This window comes from Homo sapiens, chromosome 5 (assembly GCF_000001405.40).
Source record: "Homo sapiens chromosome 5, GRCh38.p14 Primary Assembly".
Lineage (NCBI taxonomy): Eukaryota > Metazoa > Chordata > Mammalia > Primates > Hominidae > Homo > Homo sapiens.
In genome coordinates, this window is record NC_000005.10 from 134,832,455 (window position 1) to 134,859,800 (window position 27,346).

The window sequence follows — 27,346 nt, forward strand, 5'->3', positions numbered from 1 at the left end:
CCGGCCTAATCTTTCTTTTGAGTCAGGCAGTTCCTATGTATAGAATTGGGTTTGTTTGTTTTAAAGGAGAACCAGCTATTGAATACTTAGGATTTATAAATCCCATTCAGCTAGCTGTGAAATCAGCTTCAAAGTAACAGCAGAATCTTAAGAAGCACAAACTAGAAAGGAAAACCGCCAAAGTTGTAACTCAGTTGTTTCTGACCTCTTTTTACTATTGGTGCCATGCTTTGATTTATAAAGCCATCAGCCAAAGTCCTTTAGTGACAGATTAGCATATTGTTTAAAATAGGAGGTTGTGGGGAAATTGTTGTCTAAATGAAGTCTAGTATAAATAGCTACACTTTATTTAGTAAAATGTGCCATTTTGCTGCTTTATAGATCATGCTAAGTTCTTTTTTTTTTTTTTTTTTTTTGAGACAAAGTCTTGCTCTTTTGCCCAGGCTAGAGTGTAGTGGTGCAGTCTCGGTTCACTGCAACCTCCGCCTCCCAGGTTCAAGTGATTGTCCTGCTGTGGCCTCCGAGTAGCTGGGGTTACAGGTGCTCACCACCATGCCTGGTGAATTTGTATTTTGAATTTGAATACAAATTTTGAATTTGTATTTTTATGGTAGAGATGGGGTTTCACCATGTTGGCCAGGCTGGTCTCGAACTCCTGACCTCAGGTGATCCACCTGCCTCGGCCTCCCAAAGCGCTGGAATTATAGGCGTGAGCCACGGCGCTCGGCTGGATCATGCTAAGTTCTTAAAGCAGGCAAGAGTTCTGAGTGTCTAGCCCAATGTGGGCCATTCAAATACTCTTCCAGTCAGATTTGAGTCTAGAGCTGTCAGTTCTTCACATTTTGGTACATAGTTTTACCTACGAATGGGAATCTACTGACATTTTCTCATGCCTTCTGCTTCTGGCATACTGAAGCTTATCTTTTAAAAAGGTACGTGTATGTATATTTATGTGTGTTAAGTATCAGGAGTGAGAGAGTAAATGTATGTAGAGGGGTGAGGGAGAGTCTTAACTATTTAGTTTGGGTGTAACCATCAGAAAGCAAACTTACTGAAGTGAGATGCTTAACTTGGAGTATAGCAATGTCTTACATACTGGTTAATGAAACATCTGCTCTACTCTTAGGTCAGCTCTCTGGAGCTAAAGACAGCTACGTTTCCCTTACCAGGTAAAAATTCCCTGATATGTTGACTGTTAACGGATATTTGAAGGCCTTCTAAAAATATATATAAATTTATTATTTTTCTCAGGCAGGGGTCCAAGTAGGAATGCAAAGAGAAAGTGTAAAGGTATTCTTCACAAAGTCCCCACAGTATTGACTTTCCCCTTTAAAAGTGCCTTTTGGTTTAGCTGCTATGTGTGTGTGAGTGCATACTGTCAAGTTACATGACTGGTGAGGAATTTACTTTTGATTATTTGTCTTGAACTTGTTCTCTTCCAAATATGGCAACAACTTACAGGAGTTCATGATTTTTTTCAAACTCAAGCCTTAAAGAAGAAATTCTAACTTTGCATTAACCATGTTCTTTTGGGAAGAAAAAAAATATGAAGTAAAAAGGGAAGTTTAACCTTTTGGGGGAATTGGAACTCAACATTACTCTCACATGTTAGGATTACTTTAAAAGACAGAATTTCAGAATTTAAAAAACTAATCATTTTTAATATATAGAAATACCTAGTTGCCCATGTTTTGAATATTAGTCTCTCTTCACAACTTTGCATACTGTGTAATAAGGGATATGTGGGACGATTCAGTGTGAAAAACATGTTCTTTCTACAGAAAAAGCTTTTCATTTGAACTTGGTAGTGATTGGATTTTTAGCAGCCTGGCAACTTCAGGCACTTCTGTAGCAGCTTTGGATGTTAGAGTGTCCTTGGCCTTTATCCCTGAAATCCTAGGAGGCTCTCAAGTGCCTTCCAGCCATTCCCAGAAACCTTGAAGGCAACATCTTTTCTCTGTGCCTTTGCCTAAGGGAGTCTTTCTGGAGCTGATACTCCCAAAAGTATACTGTTAACTTTGGAAAAGAGTCCTCCCTATCCCCAAACCAGCCCTCAGCCTGTGTCTGTGGCACAGGATTTGGAAAGCTTGGCAGGGCTGGATGCTTGGGAGCTTCAAAGAGAGCATAAATTCCTCTGTAACTTTTTATTGGTTTAATTTTGCTCCTGAAAATGTGTCTGGGGTCAGGCACAGTGGCTCATGCCTGTAATCCCAGCACTTTGGGAGGCCGAGGAGGGTGGATCACCTGAGGTCAGGAGTTTGAGACCAGCCTGGCCAACATGGTGCAACTCTGTCTCTATCAAAACTACAAGGCCAGGCACGGTAGCTCACTCCTGTAACCCTAGCACTTTGGGAGGCTGAGGCAGGCAGATCACAAGGTTAGGAGTTCGAGACCAGCCTGGCCAATATAGTAAAACCTGTCTCTACTAAAAATAAAAAAAATTAGCCGGTGTAGTGGCATGTGCCTGTAGTCCCAGCTACTCGGGAGGCTGAGGCAGGAGAATCACTTGAACCTGGGAGGCAGAGGTTGCAGTGAGCCAAGATTGCGGCACTGCACTTCAGCCTGGATAACAGAGCTAAACTCCATCTCAAAAAAAAAAAAAATTAGCCGGCGTGGTGGTGTGCTCCTGTAATCCCAGCTACTCAGGAGGCTGAGGCATGAGAACTGCTCGAGCCCAGGAGGCAGAGGTTGCAGTGAGCCAAGATCACGCCAGTGCACTCCGGCCTGGACAACAGAGCAAGACTGTCTTAAAAAAAAGTATATCTGGGGGTGGTAATCATTCTATGATACACATTTAAGTTTGAGAAATACTGGTAATCTTCACTGTTGCTCTTGGATTTTGACTGCCTGTGAACTAAAGCTGTGGTCTCCAAAGTGGGGTACGTGACAGTAATTTATTGAAAAGCAGGAAGAGGCCGGATGCGTTGGCTCACACTTGTAATCCCAACACTTTGGGAGGCCGAAGTGGGCAGATCACTTGAGGTCAGGAGTGTCAGCCTGGCCAACATGGTGAAACCCAGTCTCTACTAAAAAAATACAAAAATTAGTAGGGCATGGTGGCATACGCCTATAATCCCAGCTACTTGGGAGGCTGAGGCAGGAGAATTGCATGAATCCAGGAGGTGGAGGTTACAGTGAGCCCAGATCGTGCCAGTGCACTCCAGCTTGGGTGACAGAGTAACTCCATCTCAAAAAGAAAAGCAGGAAGAAAATTTTGAAGCTTCTGTGTTTTTTTTTCTTCTTTATTTTACTTTCAGAGACAGGGTCTTGCTCTGTTGCCCAGGCTGGAGTGCAGTGGCATGATCATAGCTCACAGTAGTCTCAAAACTCCTATGCTCAAGTGATCCTCCCACTTCAGCCTCCTGAATAGGTAAGTAGGACTATACAGGTGTGTGCCACCATGCCTGGCTAATTTTTTATTTTTTGTAGCAGTGGGGTCTCGCTATGTTGCCCAGGCTAATCTTAGACTCCTGGCCTCAGGCAATCCTCCTTCCTCTACTGGGATTACAGGCATGAGCCACCGCACCTGGATTTTTTTTTCTTTCTTTATTTTTTTAAGTTGTAGAATATTTATAAAAAACTCACAACCCATATGTGTTAAGTAAATATTTTTAAATGAAAGATATATTTTTCTAAATAAAAATAACTTAGTGAGAAGCCTATACTCATTTATTTATTTTTTACATCCTGATGTCTGGCTGGTCATTGAGAAGCTTTTTTTTTTTTTTTTTTTTTTTGAGACAGAGTTTTGCTCTTACTGCCCAGGCTGGTGTGCAATGGCGTGATCTCAGCTCACTGCAAGCTCCGCCTCCCGGATTCTAGTGATTCTGCCTCAGCCTCCCAAGTAGCTGGGATTACAAGTGCCCGCCACCACACCTGGCTAAATTTTTGTAATTTTAGTAGAGACAAGGTTTTACCATGTTGGTCAGGCTGGTCTCGAACTCCTGACCTCAGATGATCCAACTGCCTTGCTCTCCCAAAGTGCTGGGATTACGGGCGTGAGCCACTGGGCCCGCCTGGCCTTATTTTTCTTTCTAAATCTCATCCTTTCTTTAAAATTTTACTTTGTGTAAGGTTATTGTTTTTGTTTTTGTTTTTGCTTTTTTTGAGATGGAGTCTCACTCTGTCATGCAGGCTGGAGTGCAGTGGCGCAATCTTGGCTCACTGCAACCTCCGCTTCTCGGGTTCAAGTGATCCTCCTGCCTCATCCTCCTGAGTAGCTGGGATTACAGGCACGTGCCACCATGCCTGGCTTATTTTTATATTTTTAGTAGAGACAGGGATTCACCATATTGGTCAGGCTGGTCTCGAACTCCTGACCTCGTGATCCGCCCACCTCGGCCTCCCAAAGTGCTGGGATTGCGGGCATGAGCCACCCCTCCCAGCCTGTTAAGTTTTTTATAATATGTTGCTATATAATATATTGTTACTGTATTGGTATAACAGTTCATATACATAATCAAGTATGTATATTGGGAGGGTACTTGAACAACCTTGGGCTTGCTTAAATGCTTTATCTGTTTTTTCTTTTTTTTTGAGATGGAGTTTCACTCTTGTTGCCCAGGTTGGAGTGCAATGGCGCGATCTCAGCTCACTGCAACCTCCGCCTCCCAGGTTCAAGTGATTTACCTGTCTCAGCCTCCCAAGTAGCTGGGACTATAGGCATGCGTCACCATGCCCGGCTAATTTTGTATTTTTGGTAGAGATGGGGTCTCTCCATGTTGGTCAGGCTGGTCTAGAACTCCCGACCTCAGGTGATCCACCCGCCTTGACCTCCCAAAGTGCTGGGACTATAGGCGTGAGCCACTGTGCCTGGCCACTTTATCTGTTTTTTCATATATAAAATTCAGATATAATATGTACATCTTAGGATTGTTATGAGGATGAGGTGAAATAATACATTTAAAGCATAAATATGCTTAAAGCACGTAAAAATAGTGCCTGGCATATGGTAAGCATTCAATAAATGTTGGCTGGCACTATTATTATAATGGGTGAATAGGGGTAGATTTTCTTATGCTCTCTGCTATACACTGAATGTTTGTACCCTCCCCCTACCCCCAAATTCATGATGTTGAAACCTAATTCCCAATTTGATAGTATTTGGAGGCCTTTGGGAGGTGATTATGTCATGAGGGCTAGTGGGATCAGTGCCCTTATAAAAGAGACCCCAGTGAACTCCCTTGCCCCTTCTGCCATGTGAGAACATAGCAAAAAAAAAAAAAAAGCTGTCTGTGAATCAGAAAGCTGGCTCTCTACCAGACACCAAATTGGCCAGTACTTTGACCTTGGACTTTCCAGCTTCCAGAGATAAAATTTTGTCTTTTGTAAGCCATTCAGTCCATTAGTTTGTTATAGCAGCCAAAACAGACCAAGACCCTATCTTTCTTTTTATTATTGATATAAAGCTATATATTTAGCAGGGACAGTCAGCTGTTACTGATAAGTTAAAATGTACAAAGCAAGATTCATTTTTTTCCTATGTATATGAAAGTATCTAAGAACACTTGGGTTGGGTGTGGTTGCTCACACCTGTAATCCTAGCACTTTGCGAGGCAGTGGCGGGAGGATTGCTTGAGCCCAGGAGTTCAAGACCAGTCTGATCAATATAGGGAGACCCCGTCTGTATTTAAAAACAAAACAAAACAAAAACACTTGTACCCTCAATTGAAAGGTCTTTAGAGGCAGCCAAATTCCAGATATAGACAAATATTCCTTTTATTCACATTTATATAATCACTATTTATCATTCAAAAGACAAATTCACTGGTGATTTGCCTATGTGATATGGCCTACCTTGGGCCAGGCTGAAGCTTTTGGAGAAACTATGAAAAATGTTATATTGAGTTCAAATTGTATTTCAAGGATGTATACTTTTGAAGAAAAAATGTTGGGAGATAAGTGGAATAGTGTGATGTTTAAAAGTGCACTCCCGGCCGGATGCGGTGGCTCACGCCTGTAATCCCAGCACTTTGTGGGGCTGAGGCAGGCAGATCACCTGAGGTCAGTTTGAGACCAGCCTGGCCAACATGATGAAACGCCGTCTCTACTAAAAAACTACAAAAATTAGCCAGGCATGTTGGCAGGCACCTGTAATCCCAGCTACTCGGGAGGCTGAGAGGAGAATCAGTGAGCCGAGATCACGCCACCACATTCCAGCCTAAGTGAAAGAGCAAGACTTTATCTCAAACAAACAAATAAAAGTGTACTCCAGGCACAGTGGCTCATCCCTATAATTTCAGCACTTTGAGAGGCTCAGGTGAGGGGATCACTTGAGGCCAGGAGTCTGAGACTAGCCTTGGCAACATGGCATGACCTCGTCTCTACAAAAAAAAAAAAAATTGTCTAAGTATGGTCTTGTTGCAGATGAAGTACTTACTGATAAATACCTATGCCCTTGAAAAAGCCTCTGCATTTGACAGTACATTATGTATGTATTGTGTGTACTATAGCACCTCATTAAGACCAATCTGGCCAGGTACAGTGGCTCAAACCTGTAATCCCAGCACTTTGGGAGGCTAAGGCAGGAGGATCACTTGAGCCCAGGACTTCAAGACCAGCTTGGGCAACATGAGGAAACCCTGTCTCTACAAAACATACAAAAATTGGCCCGGCACACATCCATAGTCCCAGATACTTGGGAGGCTGAGGTTGGAGGATCCCCTGAGCCTGGGGAGGTTGAGGCTGCAGTGAGCCATGATCACACCACTGCATTCCAGCCTGGCAACAGAGCAAGACCCTGTCTCAAAAAAAAAAAAAAACCCAATCTGAGTTAATTTTCTAAAAACATCAGACCCACCATTCTTGTTGCACTTAACACCAAATTCCAATGATATGTTTGATTGTCCATTTCAATGATTTCAGTGGAATATGAGCTCCCTGAGATCACAGTCCATGTCCTATATTTTGTATCTTCAGTTTTGCATTTAATAAATACTTGTTGAATTGTTTATGGTCACACAGCTAGTAAGTGGCAGACCTGGCATTTAAATCCGTATCTATCTTCATTCCAAAGCCTGCCTGTCTGGTAACAATAAATACTATATAGAAGATGTGGTTTGTGGTACATACATGGTATTTTAGTTTTTTTCAGTTTGGCCTGCTTATATCAAGCAGCATTATTAGAATATGTCAATACTGCTTTTATTATTCATACCCTGCAGCTGAAGGGACTGGAAAGAGGATGCTGTTATTGTAGATGCTAATGCAAGTGTTAAATTTAAGGAGTAACTTTACCTTTTTTTTTTTTTTTTTTGAGACAGAGTCTCACTGTCACCCAAGCTGGAGTGCAATGGCGCAGTCTCAGCTCACTTCAACCTCCACCTCCCAGGTTCAAGCAGTTCTCGTGTCTGCCTCCTAAGTAGCTGGGATTACAGGTGCGTGCCACCATGCCTGGCTAATTTTTTTTTCTTTGTATTTTTAGTAGAGACAGGGTTTCACCATGTTGGTCAAGCTGGTCTCAAACTCCTGACCTCAAGTGATCTGCCTGCCTCAGGCTCCCAAAGTGCTGGGATTGCAGGCGTGAGCCACCACACCTAGCCTAGAGTAACTTAACCTTAAGAACAGGTAAGTGGCTGGGTGCGGTGGCTCACTCCTGTAATCCCAGAAACTTGGGAGGCCAAGGTGGGCGGATCATGAGGTCAGGAGATCGAGACCATCCTGGCCGAAATGGTGAAACTCCATCTCTACTAAAATACAAAACACTAGCCTGGCATGGTGGTGTGCACCTGTAGTCCCAGCTACTCGGGAGGCTGCGGCAGGGGAATCGCTTGAACCCGGGAGGCGGAGGTTGCAGTGAGTCAAGATTGCACCACCCCACTACAGCCTGGCGACAGAGCGAGACTGCATCTCAAAAAAAAAAAAAAAAAAAAAAGAACAGGGAAGTGATGTGGCCTTAGCAGCACCCTATTTATTTATTCATTCATTTGTATATTTTTTGAGTCCAGGTCTTGCTCTGTTGTTCAGGCTGGAGTACAGTGTCATGGTCATGGCTCACTGTAGCCCCAAACTCTTGGGCTCAAGTGGTCCTCCCTCCTTAGCCTCTCAAAATGCTGGGATTTCACACGTGAACTACCGTGCCTGGTTTATTATATTTTGGGGACAGAGTCTCACTCTGTCATTCAATCTGAAGTACAGTCACGTGATTACAGCTCACTGCAGCCTCAACCTCATGGGCTCAAACAATCTTCCCACCTCAGCATCCTAAGTAGTTGGGACCACAGGCATGTGCCACCATGCCTGGCATTTTTTTTTTTTCTGGTATTGGCAGGGTCTCCCTATGTTGTTGCCTAGGCTGATCTCCCACTCCTGGGCTCAAGCAGTCCTCCTGTTTCGGCCTCCCAAAGTGCTGGGATTATAGGCATAAGCCATTGCACCTGTCTGGGAGGCTCATCTGAGCCTTGGTATCCAGAGTTTTTATTGGAGCTAATTATGTAGACATGATTAATTAGCCATATGGCTGATCAGTTTTCAGTCCCTCAGGAGGTGGAGCTGATACCATGTGACCCAGCTCTTTCACACTAAATCACATTGTTAGACTATCTTGCATGACCCACGGCCCCAGGCAAACAAAAACACTATGAAGCATGACATTCCAAGGGTTTAGGGATTACTTCCAAGAAGCCAGCAGTAAAGGCCAGACTGTTCTTTGGCAAGGTTAAATTTTTTACACCTGCCCCTCTACATCGTAGAAGGGCCCGTTTCCTCAATTTTTTTGGATTATGTTATTTCTTCAATTCTCTCTTAGCTTTTCATCAGAGGTAAAAATAACGTTTGTAGTTTCCAGTTACTACAGCTAGATTATGGTGTAGTAAGAAAAATCTCAGTGATTTCTTTTTTTTTTTAATTTTTCTGGGCTAGGTGTAGTGGCTCACGCCTGTCATCCCAGCACTTTGGGAGGCTGAAGTGGGCAGATCACCTGAGGCCAGGAGTTGGAGACCAGGCTGGTCAACATGGTGAAACCCCCTCTCTACTAAAAATACAAAAAGCCAGGTGTGGTGGCTCGTGCCTGTAGTCCTAGCTACTTGGGAGGCTGAGATATGAGAATCGCTTGAACCCGGGAGGTGGAGGTTGCAGGGAACCAACATCTCGCCACTGCACTCCAGCCTGGGTGACAGAATGAGACTGTCTCAAAAAAAAAAGTTTATTTCTCATCTATGCTAAATTATCCTCATGTGTTGTAAGAGGAGAAGCTTTACTTCACATCTATCTAACCCCAGAATCCAGGATCCAGACTGATGGCAACTCTAACATCACAGTCCTAATGGCAGAGAAGAATCTCAGAGAATCTTGCATTTGTCACTTTCATTGACTAGTGCAAGTCACATGGCTATGCCTGACTTTGGGGGAGGGGATGGCTGAAGAAGTACAGAGGAGCTACATAGTGGAGATTAGTTATAATATTTATAATATATCCAAAAAAGAGCTTCTAGAGGCCTGAACTAAATGAGCACCTTATAGAGTCAAGTGGAATCACATGACTAACTTTGTGCAATGTGAGTCTAAAAAACTAGGACAGTGGGTAGACATTAGTAGGAGGCTGATTGCTTTAATATGAGGTCAAATTTTAGAAGTTTATAGAATTTTAGAATTTTATAAGAGGAGCTGCCTAGAGTGGTAGCAAATTCCTATATAAAAAATGAATTGGTCACTATTTCTCTCATAGTGACTATTGTGAAGATAGTTTAGATTTTCTTGAAGCACTATTTTGCATGGTTATAACATTTGTCTGCTCCATTGAATCTAAAATAAGTTGGCTGCACACGGTGGCTCCTGCCTGTAATCCCAGCACTTTGGGAGGCCGAGGTGGGAGGATCACCTGAGGTCAGGAGTTCAAGACCAGCCTGGCCAACATGGTGAAACCCTGTCCCTACTAAAAATACAAAAATTAGCCAGGCATGGTAGCACATGCCTATAGTCCCAGCTACTCAGGAGGCTGAGGCAGGAGAATCGCTTGAACCCGGGAAGTGGAGGTTGCAGTGAGCCAAGATTGGGCCATAATCCAGTGACCCAGCCTGGGTGAAAGAGTGAGACTCCATCTGAAAAAAAAAAAAAAGCTAAAGTCAACATATAGCATAAATGAGTAGATGTGTCAGAGGGTGAGTAAACCTGGAATGTCTCCTATTCCTTGATCAAATACCCACTAGCTAGTGGTTCACCAAATGGCTGGTGTTATTTTACTAAGGTCATCAGCTGATGTAAGTGTGCAGTTTCATCTTGGTGGCTAGATCTCCTTCTAAAGAGAGCTGGCTGGAGATTTCTTGCTGATATTTCCTGGCTCATGGTGCTTCTGTGAAATATCTCCAGACTAAAGTGGCATTTAAAGCCCACTTCCAACCCTTCCTGGAGCATTCAGTGGGCAAAGGTTCCACCATTATAAATGTACTTGCTTTTGTCTTCCCTGTAGCCACCACAGCTTCTACTCCACCAATTCATGTCTGGCACTTTCAAATCCAAACTCGAAACTCAAATCCTTTGCAAGTCTTCCTCAGTTATTCCCTTTAGCTGTAATGATGAATATTTGTCCCCATAATTTTTTTTTTTTTTGAGACAGTCTCACTGTTGCCCAGACTGGAGTGCAGTGGCCAATCTTGGCTCACCGCAACCTCCACCTCTGGGGTTCAAGTGATTCTCGTGCCTTAGCCTCCCGAGTAGCTGGGATTACAGATGTGCACCATCACACCTGGCTGATTTTTCTATTTTTACTAGATACGAGGTTTCGTCATGTTGGCCAGGCTGTTCTGGAACTTCTGGCCTCAAGTAATCCACCTGCCTCGGCCTCCCAAAGTCCTGGGATTGCAGGCATGACCCACCGTGCCTGGCCTTATTCCCATGAATTCTTATTCAAGATTTTATTGGAATTATTTGGTTATTTTCAAGAACAATATAACTTGTATGAGCTTAAAATATTTTATGGAAAATGGTAAATATTTGAAAATAGAATAGTATAATGAACATCTAAGTAGTGGTGAATATTTTCTTTTTTCTTTATATCTTTTGGGACAGGGTCTCGCTTGGTCATCCAGGCTGGAGTGCAGTGGCGTGGCTCACTGTAATCCCTGCCTTCCAGGCTCAAGCGATCCTCCCGCCTCAGCCTACCAAGTAGCTAAGCTGAGTTATTTTTGAGACAGTCTCATTCTGTCACCCAGACTGGAGTGCAGTGGCACGATCTCAACTGACTGCAACCTCCGCCTCCCAGGTTCAAGCGATTCTCTTGCCTCAGCCTCCCGAGTAACTGGGATTTAGCGACATGCACCACCATGCCTAATTTTTTGTATTTTTAGTAGAGACAGGGTTTCACCATGTTGGCCAGGCTGGTCTTGAACTCCTGATTTCAGGGGATCCACCCGCCTTGGCCTCCCAAAGTGCTGGGATTATAGGCATGAGTCACTGTGCCTGGCCACTGATGGATATTTAAATAGTCCTATTACCTTATTTAATTTCACAGCTCTACAAGGAAGACATTGTCTTAATTTCTTACATGTGGAAACTTTTGGTGGAGCAATGACTTGCCCAAAATACCATGGGAGGCAAGTGGCAGAAAGGCATTCAAACTCAGGGCTGCCTGACTTCTTTGTTATTCTGGCTACCCCTCCATTGGGCCTGCAAATTACTTGACTTTTTTAGAATGAAAATTTCTTTTTCTTAAATGTTTTTATGTACAAATGCCATTTCAGACAAGAGTTTAGAGTTACAGATTTGGAATAGTGATTATATGGTATGGGAGTGCTCCACCTCAAGAGCAAAAAAACCTTGCTTAGAAAAAAAACTTGTTTTTAGATAGGCTACTTAATATGCCTTAAAATCTGTGTACATATTTTAACTTTTCTATATTGGTATTTTCCTTTTACATATAAATAACACTAGCATGATTAATCCTGTTTTTTTAGCATTTTATTTTTTTGAGACAGGGTCTCACTCTGTTGCCCAGGCTGGAGTGCAGTGGCACAAACACAGCTTAAGGAAGCCTCAGTCTCCTTCCTCCTATCTCAGTCCTTCCTTCTGTCTCAGCCTCCGTAGCAGCTGGCACTACAAGTACTCATCACCACACCCAGCTAATTGTTTTATTTTTTGTAGAGACAGAATCTCTCTATATTGTCCAGGCTGGTCTCAAACTCCTGGCCTCCTGCTTTGGCCTCCCAAAGTCCTGGGATTACAGGTGTGAATCACTCCACCTAGTTGGAATGATGTTTAGAATCATGTTATGAATCTCCGTCTGCCAAAAAAATCCTAGCTTCCCAACCAGGGAATTCCACCTGAGCTTTGTGTCCAGAGTTTTTTGTTGTTGTTGTTGTTTGTTTGTTTGAGACGGAGTCTCGTTCTGTCCCAGGCTGGAGTGCAGTGGTGCGATCTCGGCTCACAGCAACCTCCACCTCCTGGGTTCAAGCGATCCTCCTGCCTCAGCCTTCCGAGTAGCTGGGATTACAGGTGCGCACCACCATGCCCAACTAATTTTCGTATTTTTAGTAGAGAAGGGGTTTCACCATGTTAGTCAGGCTTGTTTCGAACTCCTGACCTCGTGATCTGCCCGCCTCGGCCTCCCAAAGTGCTGGGATTACAGGCGTGAGCCACCGCACCCAGGCTGTCCAGAGTTTTTATTGGTGTAGGTTTGATCAACTGTTCACATGGCTTATCTGTCTCCAGTCCCTCAGTAGTTTGAATGAATGGGCTTGCTTGTTTCGTGTGTTGTGTCCTGGCTTGTGTGTTTGTCCAGAAAAGTTGTTTCTCCTCCTTTCTTTCCTACTGGCAGGGCAGTACCTGGCTCAGGGCTGTGCTTATGGTAGAACTCAGTTCTATGAATTGTCCATCCTCAAATATCCTTCATTACATGGGGGAAAAGGGCAAGCATCCTCCTCTAGCCTCTTCCCACTGCTTAATAAAGTGTCTCCCTTTCAGTAGCTGCCCTAATTCTGGATCCTCTCCATTCTGACATCTGGAAATTCACAGGAGGAAGGAGTGAGGAAATGAATCCCTTCTAAGTGGGTTTGTGTGAGGTGACTGATATGTCAGATATCTCACAAGAAAAACATAATAGCGGTAGTTTGTTGTTCCATCCTTTCCTGTGATTATGGAATAATGAATGCGACAATTCCTGGGGCGTGGTGGCTTACGCCTGTAATCTGCGTGGATCATAGGATGTCCCATAAAATAAAGCTTTTCATTATCACATGATCCTGGGCATGAAGAGTCCCAACTCCCCTGACTATCATTTATTTGTCCTGTATCTAAGAAATGGGGTCAGCAGGAGTTCCAGCATCTCAGAATTGTGGTGAAAACCAATACAAGTAAGGAAGTTATTAATTCCCCATTTGGTGGGTTCCTCAACCCCAGCCACTGGGGACGGTCCACGCCGGATCACCAGCAGCTCAGGCTTAAGGCCACGACGCGCAAGCGCAGCCTGCCAGCCTGGCTCCCTCCCAAAGCTTGCGTGCAGGTTGGCGGCGGGAGATCGGGTCTCGCGATGCGAGTGAGCGTGTGCGTGCGCGGCCCTCGCGAGCTCGCGCACGCCGCCTCTAACACTACAGGGTGGTAGCGGCCTCTTCGTACTGCGTCCGGGGCAGGACCGTGCGCGGCGGCCGCGGCGGGTGCTGGGAGCCAGCGCCTGCCTCGCCGCCGCCCTCGCTGCCTGCCACTCCGTCTTGGCCCGTTCTCCGCACCGTGCAGAGGCGGCGGGCTGGGGAGGGAGCGGCGCCAGCACGAGGTTCCCAGCCGCTGGGAAGCCCCTAGACGCGCCGAGGGGCCGGGCTACGAGCGGCTGAGGTAGGTAGGGGTGCGCGGGCTGGTCAGCCGGCCGGGAGCGGGGTAGGGCGGCGGCGAGAACGGGCGCCTCGCTGACCGGGGAGAAGAGGCCTCCTGCCAAGGGGCCCTAGTGTAGCCGGAGTGAGAGGAGGGGCCCCGGACGTAGCCTGCTCTTCCCCGGTGTGGAGCCATTACGGGGGGACATTCCTCCTGCGGCGGGGGGAGGGAGCCCCCTTTCTTTTCTTTGAGAGGTCAGAATCCGCAGTCCGCCCTTCGCCTTTAAATAAAAGCCTGCCGGCTCGAGATCGGCGTCGCGATGGAGTGCCCGTGGACTTCTACGCTTGCGGAACTCCGAGTGGACGGATAGCGGCTTATGAATTTTGCTTTTTAGAGGGTACACAACCCTTTCTCTAGGGTGGCGTGCATCTTCTGCAAACTTGTTATTGCCAATACGCTAATAGTCGCTTTCAGCACACAACAGGTAATACATTCTAAACGCCTCGTGTCAAAATAAGGAGAGTCCTTATTTGTGCACCGTGGGGCACAGTTAAGGAGCAGGAAGAAGACAAAGGAGGCCGTTATTTATGTGCCGTCCTATTATCAAAACTTTCCGTGGTGGGGCAGGGTGCGTGGCTATTGGCCTCTGCTGAATGGACTTTCAGAGTGATTGAGGTGAGTTGCAAATCTTCATTTAGAATTATGAAACGTATATGATTATACATAATAGTTAGTCAAATGACCTGAAATAAATCTCTGAGAATTACGTGATCTTTGATCTTTGGAGAACAGAACTTGGGTTTCTTGAAAGGAAGCTTTCTCCATGTTTAGAAAGCTTCAGGGATGCTTTGTGAAGTTACTAAAAATAGTTACATTTCTTTATGTTGGCAGTAATGACTGCCACATTCAAGAGAAGAGAAAGGAATTGTTCTATAAAGAACGGCTCATTTTAGGGGTTAAACTTTAGGAGTTAAACACAATAAAACAACTTCAAGGATGGTAAGTTTTAGCTTATGCTTTAAGTATTCGAATTTAGTCACAGTCCAAATATATAGAAGCTCTTAGTTGACTCCTGTACATTCAGGGAACTATTTATTGGTTGTTTTTGTTTGTTTTGTTTTTTTTGAAACGGAGTCTCACTCTGTCCCCCAGGCTGGAGTACAGTGGCGCGATCGCGGCTCACTGCAACCTCTGCCTCCCGGGTTCAAGCAATTCTCCTGCCTCAGCCTCCCAAGTAGCTGGGATTATAGGCATGCGCCACCACACCCAGCTAATTTTTGTATTTTTAGTAAAGATGGTGTTTAACCATGTTGACCAGGCTGGTCTCGAACTGCTGACCTCGTGATCCACCCTTCTCAACCTCCCAAAGTGCTGGGATTACAGGCGTGAGCCACTGCACCCGGCTTCAGTAACTATTTAAAAAGATGATCTTTAACCTTTGATAGTCTACACAACCTGTTCTATAACTCTTGGCTTCTATTCAGTCCACGCTGTCTGGAAATGTAGTATTCATCCTATTTTTTTTTTTTTTTTCCTGAGATGGAGTCTGTTTCCTAGGCTGGAGTACAGTGGCACGAACTCGGCTCACTGCAACCTCCGCCTTTGGGTTCAAGCGATTCTCCTGCCTCAGCCTCTGGAGTAGCTGGAGTTACAGGCACCCGCCACCATGCCTGACTAATTTTTTGGATTTTTAGAGAGAGGGTTTCGCTGTGTTATCCAGGCCAGGCTACTCTGGAACTCCCGACCTCAACTGATCTGCCCACCTGGGCTTCCAAAATTTCTGGGATTACAGGCCTGAGCCACCGCGCCGGACCATTCTGACTCTTAAGAAATGTGGCTTGGGACCGGTCGCGGTGGCTGTGGCCTGTAATCCCAGCACTTAGGGAGGCCAAGGCAGGCGGATCACGAGGTCAGGAGATCGAGACCATCCTGGCTAACATGGTGAAACCCGTCTCTACTAAAAATACGAAAAATTAGCCAGGCGTGGTGGCTGGCGCCTGTAGTCCCAGCTACTCGGGAAGCTGAGGCAGGAGAATGGCGAGAACCTGGGAGGCGTAGCTTGCAGTGAGCCAAGATCGGGCCACTGTTCTCCAGCCTGGGCGACAGAGCAAGACTCCATATCAAAACAAAACAAAACAAAACAAAAAACAAATGTCGCTTGCATACTTTCAATGAAAGGGTCTTTCCGCCCGGCGTGGTGGCTCACGCCTGTAATCCCGGCACTTTGGGAGGCCAAGGCAGGCGAATCACCTGAACTCGGGAGTTTGAGACCAGCCTGGCCAACATGGTGAAACCTCGTTTCTACTAAAAAAAAAAAAAAGTATAAAAATTAGCCTAGCATACGTGCCTGTAATCCCAGCTACTCAGGAGGCTGAGGCAGGAGAATTGCTTGAACCCGGGAGGTGGAGGTTGCGGTAAGCCAAGATCGCGCCATTGCACTCCAGCCTGGGCAAGAGCAAAACTCCGTCTCAAAAAAAAAAAAAAAAAAAAAAGCCGGGCGTGGTGCCTCACGCCTGTAATCCCAACACTTTGGGAGCTGTGGCAGGCGGATCACCTGAGGTCAGGAGTTCGAGACCAGCCTGACTAACATGGTGAAACGTCGTCTCTACCGAAAATAAAAAAATTGGGCGTGGTGGCATGTGCCTGTAATCCCAGCTACTCAGGAGGCTGAGGCAGGAGAATCGCTTGAACCCGGGAGGCAGAGGTTGCGGTGAGTCAAGATTGCACCATTGCACTCCAGCCTGGGCAACAAGAGTGAAACTCCGTCTCAAAAAAAAAAAAAAAAGAGGCTGGGCGCGGTGGCTCACGCCTGTAATCCCAGTACTTTGGGAGGCTGAGCGGGTGGATCACGAGGTCAGGAGTTCAACACCAGCCTGGCCAACATAATGAAACCCCATCTCTACTAAATATACAAAAATTAGCTGGGCGTGGTGGCACATGCCTGTAATCCCAGCTACTTCGGAGGCTGAGGCAGGAGAATCGCTTAAACCGGGGTTCCAGAGGTTGCAGTGAGCCAAGATCAAGTCACTGCACTCCAGCCTGGGCAACAGAGCTAGACTTCGTCTCAAAAAAAAAAAGGGAGTGTTTCAACAATAGTTAGCTCGGAAGTGGGAGGAGGAAGGCATTATGGAGTGCAGGGTTAAGCTCACATGCAAATACTTTTTATATAAACATAAATATGCTGCATGTAAATATATAGTGATGGTTATGCACATAAGCATCTAATAGTGCTGATTCCCAACTTAATAAAGTTGAAGTCTGAAAATAGGAAAGGATTGGTTTTAGTTCTGTTTGCGTTTTTAAAGTTAATTATTTACGAGTAATTCTCATATTAAATTCCTTGTCCAGCTTGTTTATTAATTATTAAGTAGAATACTGTACTGATTTCTTGGCAGTAGCAGGGAAGGAATATATAGAACATACAGAAGCCCTGCACTTCAGAAATGTTAAGTCAGTGTCTTTTTTTTTTTTTTTTTTTTTTTTTTTAAAGAGAGAGTCTCACTCTGTTGCCCAGCCTGGAGTGCAGAGGTGTGATCTCAGCTCACTGCAACCTCTGCCTCCCGGGTTCAAGCAATTCTGCTGCCTCAGCCTTCCGAGTAGCTGGGATTACAAGTGCATGCCTCCATGCCCAGCTAATTTTTGTATTTTTTGTAGTGACGGGGTTTCTCCCTGTTGGCCAGGCTGGTCTCGAACTCCTGACCTCAAGTGATCCACCCGCCTCAGCCTCCCAAAGTGCTGGGAGTACAGGCGTGAGCTACCACACCTGGCTAAGTCAGTGTCTCATTATCTTTCCATTGGAATAAATAGCTTTACTCTTGTCAATTTGTGCTTAGAATAGTGTTTTGCATGGAGTTGGCCCTCAATAAATGTGAGTTATGTCAGAACTAAATTTACATAATACAAACTAAAGGCATAAATTCTGGACAATATTGAAGGAATGAAGAAATGGAGATATGTGGTTTTTTGTTTGTTTTCTTTGAGATGGAGTTTGCTCTTGTTGCCCAGGCTGGAGTGCAGTGGCATGATCTCGGCTCACTGCAACCTCCTCCTCCCAGGTTCAAGCGATTCTCCTGCCTCAGCGTCCTGAGTAGCTGGGATTACAGGCATGTACCACCACGCCCAACTAAATTTTATTTTTAGTAGAGATGGGGTTTCTCCATGTTGGTCAGGCTGGTCTCAAACTCCCGACCTCAGGTGATCCACCCGCCTTGGCCTCCCAAAGTGCTGGGATTACAGGCGTGAACCACCATGGCTGGCCAAGATGCATGCTTTTTAAAAATTGCAAGTGTTTTTTTTTTTTTGAGTTGGAGTTTCGCTCTTGTCTCCCAGGCTGGAGTGCAATGTTGCGATCTTGGCTCATTGCAACCTCCACCTTCTGGGTTCAAGCGACACTCCTGCCTCAGCCTCCCGAGTAGCTGGGATTACAGGCGTGCACCACTACACCAGGCTAATTTTTTTTTGTATTTTTAGTAGAGACGGGGTTTTACCATTTTGGCCAGGCTAGTCTCAAACTCCTGACCTCAGGTGATCTGCCTGCCTCAGCCTCCTGAAGTGCTGGGATTAGAGGCATGAGTCACCATGCCCAGCCGCACGACTAATTTTTTAATGGTATGTTTTTTTCAGTGTGGATTGATATCTGAGTCAAGGATAGTGGCATTTTGCCTCTAAAAGCCTAACATAATGTAAGCTGAGACTGTATATCCTGAGTTCTCTGATAGATTATGAATGTTCATATATATATATATATATACACACACACACACACACTACACACACATACATATTTTATACATACAGAAATACATATATTTATTTATTTATTTATTTATTTATTTATTTATTTATTTTTGTTACCCTCCTGGTAAGTCACAGAACTTTTTTTTTTCCCCCACAAAATTTTTGTAAATTTTTGTATTTTTAGTAGAAACAGGGTTTTGCCATTTTGGCCAAGCTGGTCTTGAACTCCTGACCTTAGGTGATTTTCCCGCCTTGGCCTCTCACAGTGCTGGGATTGTAGGCGTGAGCCATCGTGGCCATCCTGGTTGTCTTTACTAATTCTGGCATTTGCTTTTCTTCCATTTGGAAACCAAATCTATTTGACTTTGCAGTAAGAAAGAATTTGTGGATATTTGGTGAGGAAGAGGCTAAAAAGGTGAATAAAAACTTAAGTGAGAATATTTTAAGTTGGGTCTGTGTTTTCATTTTAGTATAATCAAGTGATTTCATGGTGAAGGGTGGATTCCCCGCCCCCCACCCCCCAGGGAACATTTGGCAATGTCTGGAGAAATTTTTCATTGTCAAATATTTAGGGGAAGGGAGAGAGGTGTTGCTACTGACATCTAGTGGGTAGAGGCCAGGGATGCTGCTAAACATTGTACAATGCAGTGGACAAACCACAACAAAATTATCTGACCCAAATGACAGTGCTGCTATTGAAAAACCATGGTATGCTACATTGTAAATTGTTGGTTCTGAAGTTGAATCATCAAAAGTCATATTTGGCTAACCATTTCCTAATGTGTGACCCTGGCAGAATGCTTAAAGTCTGTAAAATAATATTGTATGTTCCTTATAGGCTTGTACTGAGGATTAAATCAGATAATGTGCAAAGAACCAAGCTTATTGCCTGGCACATAACAAAATCCTAAAAAATTGCTAACTTTCAGCCAATACTATGTTTGGAACTCATCTTGAGAGTCTCCTTTTTTCTCATCTGAAATTAGAATTTGAGCTAGTGAAATGATAATTAATAATCTAGTCCTTTTTGTTTTGAGACGGAGTCTTGCTTGTCACTCAGGCTGGAGTGCAGTGGCACGATCTCAGCTCACTGCAACCTCTGCCTCCCGGGTTCAACCAATTCTCCTGCCTCAGCCTCCTGAGTAGCTGGGACTACAGGCACGTGCCATCACGCCCAGCTAATTTTTTGTATTTTTAGTAGAGACGGTGTTTCACTGTGTTAGCCAGGATGGTCTCAATCTCCTGACTTTGTGATCCGCCTGCCTCGGCCTCCCAAAGTGCTGGGATCACAGGCGTGAGCCACCGCGCCTGGCCAATAATCTAGTTCTTGTATCTGTGGGGAATGAGTGAAAAAATTATTCCACTTAATATTTGTGTTTAGCCCAGTCTTGTTTTATGTTCTCAAGTCTAAAAAGCTTTTGCCATAAACAAGTAGCTTCTCACTGTAGATATTTTTCCATCAAATTGAGACTTTAAGCCAGCTTGCCAATTGCTCTGTTGATTCTCAGCAAATGTTTCATAATTTAACAGAATTTGATTCTGTGACTTCATGCTCATTTCCTTTTGCCTTTACAAACTAAAGTAAGTTTACAGTGGTTTTCGCTAACCTTATTACCTGTTTGCAGCCTCTAGGAGTAACTGTTTTCATAACTGAGGTTTTGGTGCACTCTCACATGTATGAAGGGTGCACACAAATATCTCCTAACAACTTGAGGCTGGACCTTAATATACATTTGTGACTCTTTATAAATCCGAATTGGAACCCATATCTTTATCTCTTTTACCTCATCACAACATAATACTGTAGTCTCTATAAAACTGTCATTTCCAGCCAGGCACGGTGGCTCACGCCTATAATCCCAGCACTTTGGGAGGCCAAGGAAGGCGGATCACCTGAGGTTGGGAGTTCAAGACCAGCCTGACCAACATGGAGAAACCTCATTTCTATTAAAAATACAGTCCGGGCACGGTGGCTCACACCTGTAATCCCAGCACTCTGGGAGGCCGAGGCAGGCAGATCACGAGGTCAGGAGATCAAGACCATCCTGGCTAACACGGTGAAACCCCATCTCTACTAAAAATACAAAATATTCGCCGGGCGTGGTGGCGGGTGCCTGTAGTCCCAGCTACTTGGGAGGCTGAGGCAGGAGAATGGCGTGAACCCGGGAGGCAGAGGTTGCAGTGAGCTGAGATCGCGCTACTGCACTCCAGCCTGGGTGACAGAGCAAGACTCAGTCTCAAAAAAAAATAAAAAATAAAATGAAAATACAAAATAAAAATAAAAAATTAGCCAGGCGTGGTGGCACATGCCTGTAATCCCAGCTACTCGGGAGGCTGAGGCAGGAGAATCGCTTGAACCCAGGAGGCGGAGGTTGCGGTGAGCCAAGATTGTGCCATTGCACTCCAACCTGGGCAACAAGTGCGAAACTCCACCTAAAAAAAAAAAAAAAAAAAACCTGTCATTTCCTCTGTCTAAATGATATGGCTATTTAGAGCTAGTTTGTTGTGGTAGTGGTTTTAATAAGTCCTTTATATAAAAAAAAAAAATCACAGGGATGTCCTTACAGACAAAATAGAGACTTTGGACCTTCTTCTTCTTCTTCTTTTTTTTTTTTTTTTTTTTTTTCTATTTCAAGAGCAGGAATCTTGCTATGCTGCCCAGGCTTGTTTCAAACTCCTGGGCTCAAGTGATCCTCCCACCTCAGCCTCCCTTATAGCTGATGCCACCATGCCTGGCTGGACTGTTCTTTAATAAGTCACAGGGCTTGTGGTGTAAGGGAAGATGATCCACACTGTATTTATGATCAAGGGAGAAAGCAATGTTGTACATTCAACTTTTTGTCTTGATAAATACACCTTACAAATAGGAGGTATTGGCTGGGTGCGGTGGCTCACGCCTGTAATCCCAACACTGTGGAAGGCCGAGGCGGGCAGATCACGAGGTCAGGAGTTCGAGACCAGCCTGACCAACATGGTGAAACCCTGTCTCTACAAAAGTACAAAAATTAGCCGAACATGGTGGCAGGCACCTGTAGTCCCAGCTATTCAGGAGGCTGAGGCAGGAGAATCACTTGAACCCAGGAGGCGGAAGTTGCAGTGAGCTGAGATCGAGTCACTGCACTCCAGCCTGGGTGACAGAGCAAGACTCCATCTCAAAAATTTTTTTAAAAAAGGAGATACTTTATTATGGTTGTTATCCATATTTTTGTAGTATAAGTCTTAAGCATTTGTATAATGTTCACTCATTTTAGCTAATGGAAACCTTTGTTTACCTTTTGTATTGGTACTGCCTTCTGTTGGAATGGAGGATGTTTGAAGGGAGTCAGTACCTTGGGCCAAGAGATTGTATTCTTTACACTTGATCTTAGCCAAAAGGCCAAGAAGCAGTAGAGATTGTGTTCATTGCTTGGCACATGCTGTCTTTTGTGAAGTGTAACATATACTCAGGGTTCTGTATAAATAATAAATTACAATAACGATGGAGTGTCCATCTTGTGGAAACTGTTGTCAGGCCAGAAGTATGCATGTGAGAAATACAATAAAAGGCCAACAGGAGGCATTCTAAGAACATCAGGCAAACTGAAAAAAAGAATTGTGTTAATAAGAGTTCTTGGCTTTACTATTATTCTTTTGAGGTTTAGTAATCTAGAAGAGAAAAGCCCACAGAATAGAACATTTGTTTTTGACTTACACACTTTTCTGGTTCCTAATTGGAGAGCATTATAGCTATGAAATCAGTATTATAATAGAGTTATCTTGTATGATGTTTGTCCCATGATTAAATTGAGAAGAAGTGTCCTTGAATCTGCTGATGTGTGTTTGTTTATAAGTGGTCTGGAGTCCTGCCTGTTAGCCTAATTTTATGTAGCCTGCATAGTTGTTGGAAGACAGACTGTTTTCTCACTGAATGCTGCATACAGGTATGTATTTGTGTGTGTGTATTTATATATATTTGTCTTTTATTTTTGGTAGAAAATGATGCATCCTGTTGCCAGCAGTAATCCAGCTTTCTGTGGGCCTGGCAAGCCTTCCTGCCTCAATGAAGATGCCATGAGAGCTGCTGATCAGTTTGACATATATTCCTCCCAGCAAAGCAAATACAGCCACACAGTCAACCACAAACCAATGGTTTGTCAGAGGCAAGACCCATTAAATGAAACACACTTGCAGACTACAAGTGGCAGAAGCATAGAAATAAAAGATGAACTAAAGAAAAAGAAGAATCTCAACCGATCTGGTAAGCGTGGCCGGCCTTCGGGAACCACCAAATCAGCAGGATACCGGACCAGCACAGGCAGACCCCTGGGAACCACCAAAGCAGCTGGATTTAAGACAAGTCCAGGCAGACCTTTGGGGACAACTAAAGCTGCGGGATACAAAGTCAGCCCAGGCAGACCTCCAGGTAGCATTAAAGCTCTATCCCGTCTTGCCGATCTTGGTTATGGCTGTGGCACTGCTGCTTTTCCTTACCCTATGATGCATGGCAGAGCAGTTCATGGGGTAGAGGAAACTAGCAGTGAAGTCAAACCACCCAATGAGTGAATGAGGCAGGAAAAGAGGGCCAGGTTTAGAAGGAAGATTGTGAATAATCCCAAAGCTTCTTGGTTTTATTTTGATATACATAATTTTATGGCCTGGGCTTTCCAAATTTGTTTTCCTGTTTGGTTTTTTTCCTGCTTTTGCTCAAAAACTGCCATATGCTGACAGATGCACTCAGGGCATGAGCAGCGGCATTGTATTTGTACATAGGTTCAAGTGTAACACCTAACTAAATCATTTTTCCTTTTCCTTTAGAGTTATGGTCATGTCTCATGTTTCATTACTACTTTGGGGCTGTTCTAAATAGATGCTTTATGTGATAAACAACTGAAACCATTATACCTATTAGTTTGTGAAGTAAGCCTACAGTATAATAAAGACACTAACGTATTTTTAACTGATGGAGCAAAAAAGCAAACTAATGAATCAGGATTACTTGAGGTAATGGCTGTGTGAGTTTTTGTAACATTTATTTTCACAAGATGGGACACATATTTGTATGCTTTGGCATTTACATCCACTTCAAATGTTAAAAAACTTATTTTTAATGTTTTAGGTTTAAGCAGCTTGTAATTTATTGATCTACATGGCATTAATTGATTTAACCATTATACCTGAAATAATTCTTCAGTGTTTGCCTTTGAGCAGTGATAGGTTGTGTATTTTTTAATTGCCTAAGAGCATATATACCAAACACTACAAACAATTCATATTTACAGAAAATTTAAACTATTTTATAAAAACTGCACATTACATTTTTGGTGAAATATAGTGCATTCTGAGGATAGCATATTTCATATAATAGAAAAAGAAGCATTCTCTAGGTTTGCATGTAGCTATAGTCACTATATTTTGCCTTTCATATAGAAAGTTTTAAAGTATTATGTTTAAAAACATTTATTGGCTGGGTGTGGTGGCTCACACCCAGCACTTTGGGAGGCCGAGGCAGGCGGATCACTTGAGGTCAGCAGTTCAAGACTAGCCTGGCCAACATGGTGAAACCCCATCTCTACTAAAAATATAAAAATTAGCCAGGCGTGGTGGCGGGCGCCTGTAATCCAAGCTACTGGGGAGGCTGAGGCAGGAGAATTGCTTAAATCCAGGAGGCGGAGGTTGCAGTGAGCCAAGATTGTGCCACTGCACTCCAGCCTGGGTGACAGAGTAAGACTCCGTCTCAAATAAATAAATAAATAAATAAATAAATAAATAAATAAATAAAACCATTTATTGATGTTGCTCATTTATTTGGAACGTTTTTAGTTTTTCTCAGAAATTGTCCCATTGCATTAGCACTTACTGTGTTTTCAGGTTGATATCTACCAAAGGACACAAATTGAATGGTAGACTGTAAAACTGGTATAAACAGAATGCAGTTTCCCGACCATCAGAACCCAAATATTAAGAAGCATATAGGAATCCATCTATGCATGAAACATGTAAAAAATATGTTGGTTAGTTTAATTAAAAATCTTATTGTGGGTCCAGTGAGACCATCTCATCCAAAAGATTTTTTTTCCCCCAATGATGTTTGCTTTAGAAGCAAGATAGAAAGGAAAAAAAGTATTAGGTAGATATGTATAGTAGGGACAGAGGGAAATCTTTCTTCTTTCCTTTCTGAAAGTAATACTTCTTGTTACACATTTTATTTATTGAGTTTGTTCTAAATAAAATATTATAAACTTCAGACTTGAAAAAATTCCACTTAACTTTAAAGTTACAATGTTTGTATTTGGGATTTTAAATGCCTTTGAGATTAAAATGTAGAATTGCAGGACCCAAAAACTTTTAAAATAATTAAAATTTTAAAAGAGCACATGTTGTGTTTTTTGGGCTTGCTATTAATGCAAACTCTGATTGCAAATGGATGTCATGTTTCATACCTTTTTTATCAGGAAAAAAGCAGCAAGCCTTCAGGTGTTCCAGTGATGCCTGACACAATTGAGCTGGACTTTATGCTGCTCTTTACAGTAAGAGGTGTTGCATTGTATGTGGGGACTATGTGCACTGGCGTCTAAGACAGTGACCTCAACAATATTAGCTTTGCACAAACCATAGAGAACGATGTTGGATGGTTACATAATCAGTTATAACATTCTGGCAGCTAAATTGCTACAAGAGCTTTTTCTTGCAAAAGCTTAAAATACAAGATTTTTAATAATTTACTCAGAACAGTATAACTTCTGACACACACAAATGCTTGCCTCTTTATTCATATGTTCGTTACCTACTCTGTACATGTATCTGTCATTTAGCTGTTTCTCAAGATGATGTTCAGCAGTTGGCTGCTTAGAAATCTTTTTCAAGCCAGTTTCTAAAGACATTTGTTTAATGTTCTACCATAGAATAATGCACACCATTGTCAAAGATTTGATTATTGTGTTTTATAGTAAGTCCATTTGACATTTATTTCCCTTTCAGTTTATTTTCCTTCCTTATTTTGTTATACATACCCTTCCCTTTCTCCCCTGCCTTTCGTACATTCATTCCTCTTCCTCTACCCTCCAGCACATCTACTTACTGGTGCTGTGCTGTGTGTCAGAAGATAAAACAGGTGTATTATTGTATAATGAATTTTGTATACATGTTTATGAAATGGTGAGATCAACTAAAGGAGGCATGTTCATAACAGTGTTTATTATCAGCAGCTATGTCCCAGGAAAAAAAAATGGGAGGGGCAAATGGCTACAGTTGTAAATGGATAACATCATTTAGAAAGCCGAATTTACTGTTCATCTGAGCGGTTACCTGGAGTATTATATCTATGCACTGGTGAGCATCTCCTGATTCCACTTACTTTTCTCCCTGTGAACAGTTTACCGGTGCCATGCTGAAGAGAAAGACATCTAAGTGATAACATGAATGAAGTCTTAAAATTTAAAGTATTTTTACTGCTATATAAACTAAAGACTACATTGTGCATATTTTGTTAACACTGTCTCTTGTTATGATAAACACTGAAATAGCATGTTAAACAGTTGCCTATACTTTAATATAATCAGTTGGGGAAAACTGGCCTTTTCTCCCCCACTGTATGATTGTTTCTTGAAAGGTAAATTGCTAATTTTATACAGTGTAATTCTGTTCTTCACAAAATAGGTTTCATTATTCTATATTTAAACTGTTGGTCAGAAAATGATCTGCAATTCAAGTAAGTCTGCATTACTTTTTTCTTTAAAAAGTACTTTAACATGCCTTATTTATTATATTAGCAAATGAGCTAATAACAGATGAAATTTTCATTTTTTGACAGATATAACCTTGCATAAGTAGTATTTAGGGTGATTTTGATACTATCTTTAGAGTTTTGCATTGGATATTAAAAAATATATTGGCACAATGTATTGGAAGAAAATGAGTAGTATCTGGTTTAATTTTTAATATTTAGGGACATTTTAAAAAATCAATGTTTTAATTAGACTAAAAATTCTTTATATTTTTTATTTACTTTTTAAAGAAACATCTGTCAAAGTAATATTGATTCCAAACTGATGTTTGTGTGAATTTACATGTCTATTTTCATGAACTAAGAATAGAGTTTCTTTGAGTTGAGGAGAAAAAAATATATATGTGGGTCCATTTATTAGGTTAAAGTTGACCCATTCAGTGTAAAAATAACCATAGTGTGTGAGCTAAAGAAAAAAAAAAGTAAATTTCTCCTTTATATTCTAAGAAGCTTTAAAAGAACAATTCAGGGGTTATTGATAACTGCTACTCTGTCGGTCATTGTCTCTATATGCAGTAAAATTTTATGGTCCCTTTATAGGAATATAAAGAATTCAAAACAGTTTTTCAAAAGATTTTTTTCCTTGGACATAAAAAATTTTGATGCTATTCTATTTTTGTTTTTATTACAGCTTAACTGTATGCTGTTAAACTCTAGGATGTATCTGAATCTTTCCTTTTTTCCCCCCTCCTCCAAATATATAAATCTGTGCTCTCACATGTAATGTATTTAATTTTTGGAAAATTTAATGCTATATAGTAAATCAAGTGTGTGATTTAAAGTAATCAGATCACTTTGATTCTTTTAAGTTTTCAGAATTTCTTTTTTCCACAGGTAATTTTGGAGAAAATAATTACCAATTAACTGATAATAAGCACGCTGTCCTCTGCTGTAAAAAGTCTGAATAGATACTGTGTATGTTTTTATGTCCATGAACTTGAGCTACTCGTGTGCAATTATGTGTATGGGAATGGAGTAGTGTTCATGATTTGTATCTACATCATCATATGGATGTATATTTATTAATAAAGTCATTACTTTAAAACCAGCTATGTTTACTATGTTTTTTAGTGTGGTACTTTTCAAGTACTTAAGTGGTAAATGGTAAACCTT

General features: G+C 42.7%; 1 protein-coding gene across 6 annotated transcripts, besides 3 other annotated features; it reads left to right on the plus strand.

Moving 5' to 3' along the window:
- The first annotated feature begins 1,147 nt into the window (after nt 1-1,147).
- C5orf24 (chromosome 5 open reading frame 24) lies at nt 1,148-27,281 on the plus strand. Of its 6 annotated transcripts, NM_001300894.2 has the most exons (3): nt 13,514-13,758; nt 22,444-22,873; nt 24,903-27,281. In NM_001300894.2, exons 2-3 carry the CDS (start codon nt 22,447-22,449, stop codon nt 24,941-24,943), a joined length of 468 nt encoding a protein of 155 aa, NP_001287823.1. In that variant the 5' UTR covers nt 13,514-13,758; nt 22,444-22,446; the 3' UTR covers nt 24,944-27,281. The 6 variants fall into 6 exon arrangements, with proteins under 6 accessions (XP_016864539.1, NP_689622.2, NP_001287823.1 ...); XM_017009050.2 differs by lacking the exon at nt 13,514-13,758 and adding an exon at nt 1,148-1,169 and having other exon boundaries at nt 22,444-27,281; NM_152409.3 differs by lacking the exon at nt 13,514-13,758 and adding an exon at nt 13,226-13,283 and having other exon boundaries at nt 22,444-27,281.
- Nucleotides 13,225-13,960: an enhancer, noted in NCBI's record as "H3K27ac hESC enhancer chr5:134181369-134182104 (GRCh37/hg19 assembly coordinates)". NCBI's record gives its function as "activates a minimal SCP1, AML or CMV promoter by ChIP-STARR-seq in naive H9 embryonic stem cells {active_cell/tissue: H9 hESC(naive)}" and the evidence as "EXISTENCE:reporter gene assay evidence [ECO:0000049][PMID:30033119]".
- Nucleotides 13,480-13,859: a silencer, noted in NCBI's record as "silent region_16368". NCBI's record gives its function as "represses an Ori minimal core promoter by ATAC-STARR-seq in GM12878 lymphoblastoid cells {active_cell/tissue: GM12878}" and the evidence as "EXISTENCE:reporter gene assay evidence [ECO:0000049][PMID:35858748]".
- Nucleotides 13,890-13,939: a silencer, noted in NCBI's record as "silent region_16369". NCBI's record gives its function as "represses an Ori minimal core promoter by ATAC-STARR-seq in GM12878 lymphoblastoid cells {active_cell/tissue: GM12878}" and the evidence as "EXISTENCE:reporter gene assay evidence [ECO:0000049][PMID:35858748]".
- Nucleotides 27,282-27,346: the final 65 nt, after the last annotated feature.